Source organism: Homo sapiens, chromosome 11 (assembly GCF_000001405.40).
Source record: "Homo sapiens chromosome 11, GRCh38.p14 Primary Assembly".
Lineage (NCBI taxonomy): Eukaryota > Metazoa > Chordata > Mammalia > Primates > Hominidae > Homo > Homo sapiens.
In genome coordinates, this window is record NC_000011.10 from 97774936 (window position 1) to 97782503 (window position 7568).

Consider the following 7568-nt stretch of genomic DNA (forward strand, 5'->3'; position numbering starts at 1 on the left):
TTTTTTGAGACGGAGTCTCGCTCTGTCGCCCAGGCCGGACTGCGGACTGCAGTGGCGCAATCTCGGCTCACTGCAAGCTCCGCTTCCCGGGTTCACGCCATTCTCCTGCCTCAGCCTCCCGAGTAGCTGGGACTACAGGCGCCCGCCACCGCGCCCGGCTAATTTTTTGTATTTTTAGTAGAGACGGGGTTTCACCTTGTTAGCCAGGATGGTCTCGATCTCCTGACCTCATGATCCACCCGCCTTGGCCTCCCAAAGTGCTGGGATTACAGGCGTGAGCCACCGCGCCCGGCCAATTCTTTTGTTCTTGTTACTGATCAGTTAATTTCAGTCATGCTAATAGGGCTATTGAAATTAACGTGTCTTGTGTTCAACTTCTCAGACTAATTGCAGTTTGTCAATCTGTGATTTTTACGGCAGAAGCTACTCAATGAGCTAATAGTGTAACTTTACTTCTCTCACCCCCTTCTGATCTACGTACCATAGTAAGACAGTTTGATCATTAAATACAACTGTTTCCATAAAGAGAACATCTCCTCTTGATTACTTCTTACATACTGATATGAACAAAAGAGGTTGGATGTATAGACTTATTTTGTATATTCACAATTTTACCTTGACCATTTCTGAACTTCAGGCTTCTTTACTTTCTCTAATGGGAAAACCAGGCAGTCTGTTTTGGTATTTTTGCTTGGTGGCATCCAGCTTTAAGAGGGTTAGGGGATTCAAAAGTAATTCTGGTCCAGCCCTGGATTCTTGTTAGGGTGACATGATTTTAGGTTGTAGGATTAAAGACTATGAGTTGAGTGTACTGCCCACTAAGTGGTTCATCCAGGGGTTACTCAACACCACCACCAAAAATAGATTAGGTAGTTGTGATATCTTCACCCTCAGTGAGACCAGAATAGGTCCAAAAGAGGGTAGTTAGGTAAATTCTGAAATCAATGAAGAACTTATCCTTTTTCTGTTTATAGATCAAGTAATTTTAACAGAAAATACCTAAGGATAAATATAGCTGCTAAAAGGTCTTGTCCTATTTTTATATTATTTTGTATGTATCCATTATCAAATATTGACCCACATATCCACAGTCCTTTTAGTAATCAATCTATCTTCCTTTATTTTAACAAAGTCTTAGCAATTTGGGGGCTCACAATATCACTAATTCATAGAAATAAGGGAATCCTGAATTATAATTTCTAAAATCAATCCTATTTTTTTTTTGTCTTTCCATATGAGGGTTTGAAAAGATCGTGGCCAGGCGCAGTGGCTCACATCTGTAATCCCAGCACTTTGAGAGGCCAAGGTGGACGGATCACCTGAGGCCAGGAGTTCTAGACCAGCCTGGCCAACATGGTGAAACCTCTTCTCTACTAAAAACACAAAAATTAGCTGGGCGTGACAGCGAGCGCCTGTAATCCCAGCTACTTAGGAGGCTGAGGCAGGATAAACAGTTGAAGCCAGTAGACGGAGGTTGCAGTGAGCCAAGATCACATCACTGCACTCTAGCCTGGATGACAAGAGTGAAACTCCATTTCAAAAAAAGAAAAGATATTAGCTGGGTTTTGCAAATCTGATCTTTGCCAAGTTCTAGACTATAGGACTGATGAGGCTGGTCATTTTCTCTACCCAAGTTACACATTAGGAGGGTATATTTCTCAGCGACAGGGGAGGTCAAAGAAAGAGCAAAAATGTTTGGAAAAAGCACAGAAGAAAAAGGAGTAGAGTAAGAGGAAGGAGGAAATCAAATTACAAGAGTCCAGGAGGGAGACCAATTTGCAGGTGGGCAGAAAGAATGAGAGGAAGTATGTACTGTTTTTACATTTCTCTAAGGAATTCATAATGAAAAGAATTTTAGAATTTTCATATATTGTTGAGACATCTTTGTACCAGTAAAAAATGCTGACCATTGATATCTATAATCTTTGAATCCTTTCATTCTAAGGCACCTCACAAATGGCTTCCTTTGTTCATATATCAAATTCCACAAGTGGCTATAAAAGTTCTAAATTGTCTTTGGTAACATTCTACAGAGCTTCAGCTATTTTGTGCTAAATATTTAGTGTCATTGGCACCATAATGATTGTACATGTAAGAGGATGGGCAACAAACTGGGGACACGTTGAATGATAGATAATTGCTCATATTACAGTGACAACAATAAATGAGAGACAAATAATCACATTCAGAAAGACTTGTTACTTGCTCCTGCATCATGCATGATCTCCCTGAAATAGTGAAGCAAATTACAATAAAGATTTTCCTAAAATGCTTAAGCCAGAGGAGTAAACATTTATGTGGTACTTTAATGCAAAGGGAGTGGAGCGCTAGTTCATCAGGAGCAAAACTTACTCAGGTGTGCAGACGCTGGGCCGCTAAGGAAGGAAACCATCAAAGAATCATTGGCATGATATGTCCTGTTGAAGTGGCCTGGACTGAGCATAAGGGGGCCCGGTCCTGATTCAAGCCACAACACTAATAACTGTAGAACAAAATCAGCTAGAGCCTTGGCTAATCATAAACGTTTATTTGAAAATCCTGAGCACAAAAATATTTTGAGGGAATGTTTTGTCTTGGGAGAAAAAAAAAAAAAAGTTGGGAAGGCAGAGGGCTTTATCCAGAAGGGTGAATTGACTATTCCACTTGTTTTAGGAATAGATGATTCTTCAAAATGGTGAGTTGAAAGGAAGAAACTGTTCTTGAGGTGTTCATATCCACTGGTTGAGCAATTCGGGTTTAAGACGGGGAGAGAGGATGGGAAGGGGAAGTCTGAGAAAGTGACTTTGAAGGTCTCTTATATAATCTTTTTTAAGGCATAAAAATTAGTACAGTTTTAATAAAATGGATTAAATTTAAAGGAAAATACTTCCAATGTCCAGGGATGATTCAAAAATCATTTATAAGGCTTTAATTTATTCTAATAGTTAAATCTCTTTGGAAACTATTAAGCCTGTATTTTCTTTTTTGATATTTTTTTTTCTAAAATATATTCTTTAATAATAATGTTCGTCTAGGTTCCTTAATATTTATTCCATGAATTTCTTCCTCCTTCCAAGTGATCTCAGCTACTTCCAACACTTCAACTATTACAATTTAAAAAATCAAATCTAAGTCATTTTGAATTCTTCATGCCTAGGATATGTTTTCTTCTCTTTTCCTACAGTAATATCCGGCTCATGTGTCATGTCTCACCATTTTTATCATAATTCTTTATAGTGCTAAGCATGCTAAATTTCCCTTATACCTGTTTATATGTTAACATCCACTTTTGAGTCAGCTTTTTGAGCGTGTCATTCATATTTTTGGGTTTCAGTGTATAGCATATATCTGACACATAGGACATATTTAACAAGTGTTAATGATTGTTTTCCTTTAAAACATCGGTCAAATGCTTCTTCTTTTAAGAAATCTTCAACTTAGTTCATTTAGGAAAGATTCCTTTGGTAACAATGAACAGAAAGATAACTTGAAGTAGCTCAAAGAGAAACCAAACAGGAAGTACAGGACATATGAGCTTCAAGCAAGCATGGAATCAAGCTTTTGAATATCCCCATAACTCTTGCCATATTACAGCTCTAGTTCTTTCTTCCTGTCAACTTCACTATTTCACAGAGCTTCCTCCACATAGCTTAATACACAGTCTCACAACACTCACAACTCGTATGTCCCAACTTTATATAAGAGATGTAAATTAATTGCTATTAGTTCCAAGTAGAAAAAACATCCTAAAAAGTTTTAAAGATGCAGGTTAGTTAGCCTGTCTCAATCAGTGTCTACTTTTGAGCAACCGTGCTCAAATGGTTGGGCTTTGCATGGAAGCTCCCATTCAGAGCATAAAGAAAAGGGGACATTTCATCAAAGAAGGTAGTGCTAAATTGGGCAGATTTTTAAAAAATGTTTATATCTATGTTACTTTTAAAATATAATCATTCTTTCTTTTTGAGTTAATGTAACAACTTCATTTTCCTTTATTAAATCACGGATTTTTTTAATTTTTTTCCTTCACATGAATATCTTCTCTATAATTTTATATTCCTTAGGGTCAAGTATCCTTGCCCTATCATTTAATTTTTCTTTGTTATATTCCTGGGAGCTTCAAGTACAAATAAAGATTTATTTTTATGCAATAAGTAGTTAGTTCAGTAGGCCTGGGTTGCTAAAACCCCGCATAGTCTAAAGGCAGGCCTGTCTTCAGAAAGACTGACACTTGACTAGCCCCTGAGAAATAACCTCTGAGCCCTTGGAATGTGCTGCCTGATAGAGTGTTTTGGTGTGTCTGAGAATTTGGGCCACATGGTATCAATTTAACCTCCAGGCAGATGGAAACTGAGGAGTTAAGTTCAGTCAAGCTGCTGCTGCATGCTTATGGGACTGATCCCCAATAAAAATCTGGATTGCAAGGCTCAGGTGAGCTAGCCTGGTTGGCAAGACATCACATGTGTTGTCACAGGTTGTTGTCAGGTGAATTGAGTGCAATTCTTCTGGAAGGTGACACCTGGAAGTTTTTGTCTGATTTCACCCATGCGCCTTTCCTATGTCTTTTTTTTTTTTTTTTATACTTTAAGTTTTGGAGTACATATGCAGAACGTGCAGGTTTGTTGCATAAAAATACACTTGCCATGGTGGTTTGCTGCAGCCACCAACCCGTCATCTACTTTAGGTATTTCTCCTGATGCTACCTTTCCCCTAGCCTCCCACCCCAACAGGCCCTGGTGTATGATGTTCCCCCGCTGTGTCCATGTGTTCTCATTGTTCAACTTCCACTTATGAGTGAGAACATGTGGTGTATGGTTTTCTGTTCTTGTGTTAGTTTGCTGAGAATGATGATTTCCAGTGTCAACCATGTCCCTGAAAAGGACATGAACTCATCCTTTTTTATGGCTGCATAGTAATCCATGGTGTATATGTGCCACATTCTTTATCCAGTCTATCATTGATGGGGATTTAGGTTGGTTCCAAGACTTTGCTATTGTGAACAGTGCCACAGTAAACGTACAAGTGCATGTGTCTTTATAGTAGAATGGTTTATAATCCTTTGGGTATATACCAGGTAATGAGATTGCTGGGTCAAATGGTATTTCTAGTTCTAGATCCTTGAGGAATAGCCACACTGTCTTCCACAATGGTTGAACTGATTTACACTCCCACCAACAGTGTAAAAGCGTTTCTATTTCTCCACATCCTCTCCAGCATCTGTTGTTTCCTGAATTTTTAATGATTGCCATTCTAAATGGCGTGAGATGGTATCTCACTGTGGTTTTGATTTGCATTTTTCTAATGACCAGTGATGATGAGCTTTTTTTCATATGCTTGTTGGCTGCATAAATGTCTTCTTTTGAGAAGTGTCTGTTCATATCCTTCACCCACTTTTTGATGGGGTTGTTTTTTTCTTGTAAATTTGTTTAAGTTCTTTGTAGCTTCTGGATAGCCCTTTGTCAGATGGATAGATTGCAAGAATTTTCTCTCATTCTGTAGGTTGCCTGTTCACTCTGATGATAGTTTCTTTTGCTGTGCAGAAGCTCTTTAGTTTAGTCAGATCCCATTTTTCTATTTTTGCTTTTGTTGCCATTGCTTTTGGTGTTTTATTCATTAAGTCTTTGTCCATGCCTATGTCCTGAATGGTATTGCCTAAGTTTCCTTCTAGGGTTTTTATGGTTTCAGGTCTTACATTTAAGTCTTTAATCCATCTTAATTTTTGTATAAGGTATAAGGAAGTGATCCAGGTACAGCTTTTGGCATATGACTAGGCAGTTTTCCCAACACCATTTATTAAATAGAGAATCCTTTCCCCATTGCTAGTTTTTGTCAGGTTTGTCAAAGATCAGATGGTTGTAGATGTATGGTGTTATTTATGAGGCCTCTGTTCTGATCCATTGATCTATATATCTGTTTTGGTACCAGTACCTTGCTGTTTTGGTTACCGTAGCCTTGTAGTATAGTTTCAAATCAGGTAGTGTGATGCCTCCAGCTTTGTTCTTTTTGCTTAGGATTGTCGTGGCTACGTGGGCTCTTTTTTGGTTCCATATGAAATTTAAAGTACTTTTTTCCAATTCTGTGAATAAAGTCATTGGTAACTTGATGGGGATAGCATTGAATCTATAAATTACTTTGGGCAGTATGGCCATTTTCACAATACTGATTCTTCCTATCCATGAGCATGGAATGTTTTTCTATTTGTTTGTGTCCTGTCTTATTTCCTTGTGCAGTGGTTTGTAGTTCCCCTTGAAGAGGTCTTTCACATCCCTTGTAAGTTGTATGCCTAGGTATTTTATTCTCTTTGTAGCAATTGTGAATGAGAGTTCACTCATGATTTGGCTCTCTGTTTGTCTGTTATCAGTGTATAGGAATGCTTGTGATTTTTGCACATTGATTTTGTATCCTGAAACTTTGCTAAAGTTGCTTATCAGCTGAATGAGATTTGGGGCTGAGAAAATGGGGTATTAAATATGCAATCATGTCATCTACAAACAGAGACAATTTGAATCCCTCTTTTCCTAATTGAATACCCTTTATCTCTTTCTCTTGCCTGAGTGTCCTGGCCAGAACTTCCAATACTATGGTTGAATAGGAGTGGTGAGAGAGGGCATTCTTGTCTTTTGCCAGTTTTCAAAGGGAATGCTTCCAGTTTTTGCCCATTCAGTATGATATTGCCTGTGGGTTTGTCATAAATAGCTCTTACTATTCTGAGATACATTCCATCAAAGCCTAGTTTATTGAGAGTTTTTAGCAAGAAGTGCTGTTGAATTTTGTTGAAGGACTTTTCTGCATCTATTGAGATAATGTTGTGGTTTTTGTCATAAGTTCTGTTTATGTGATGGATAACATTTATTGATTTGTATATGTTGAAACAGCCTTGCACCCCAGGGATGAAGCTAACTTGATCATGGTGGATAAGCTTTTTGATGTGCTGCTGGATATGGTTTGCCAGTATTTTATTTAATATTTTTGCATCGATGTTCATCAGGGATATCGGCCTGAAATTTCCTTTTGTTGTGTCTCTGCCAGGTTTTGGTATCAGGATGATGCTGGCCTCATAAAATGAGTTAGGGAGGAGTCCCTCTTTTTCTATTGTTTGGAATAGTTTCAGAAGGAATGGTACCAGTTCCTCTTTGTATCTCTGGTAGAATTCAGCGGTGAATCTATATGGTCCAGGACTATTTTTGGTTGGTAAGCTATTAATTGCTGCCTCAATTTCAGAACTTGTTATTGGTTTATTCAGGGATTCAACTTCTTCCTGGTTTCGTCTTGGAAGGGTGTATATATCCAGGAATTTATTCATTTCTTCTAGATTTTCTAGTTTATTTGCATAGAGGTGTTTATAGTATTCTCTGATGGTAGTTTGTATTTCTGTGGGATCACTGGTGATATCACCTTTATCATTTTTTATTGCATCTATTTGATTCTTCTCCCTTTTCTTCTTTATTAGTCTGGCTAGTGGTCTATTTTGTTGAACTTTTCAAAAAACCAGCTCCTGGATTCATTGATTTTTTGAAGGATTTTTTAAGTCTCTATCTCCTTCAGCTCTGCTCTGATCTTAGTTATTTCTTGTGTTCTGCAGGCTTTTGAAT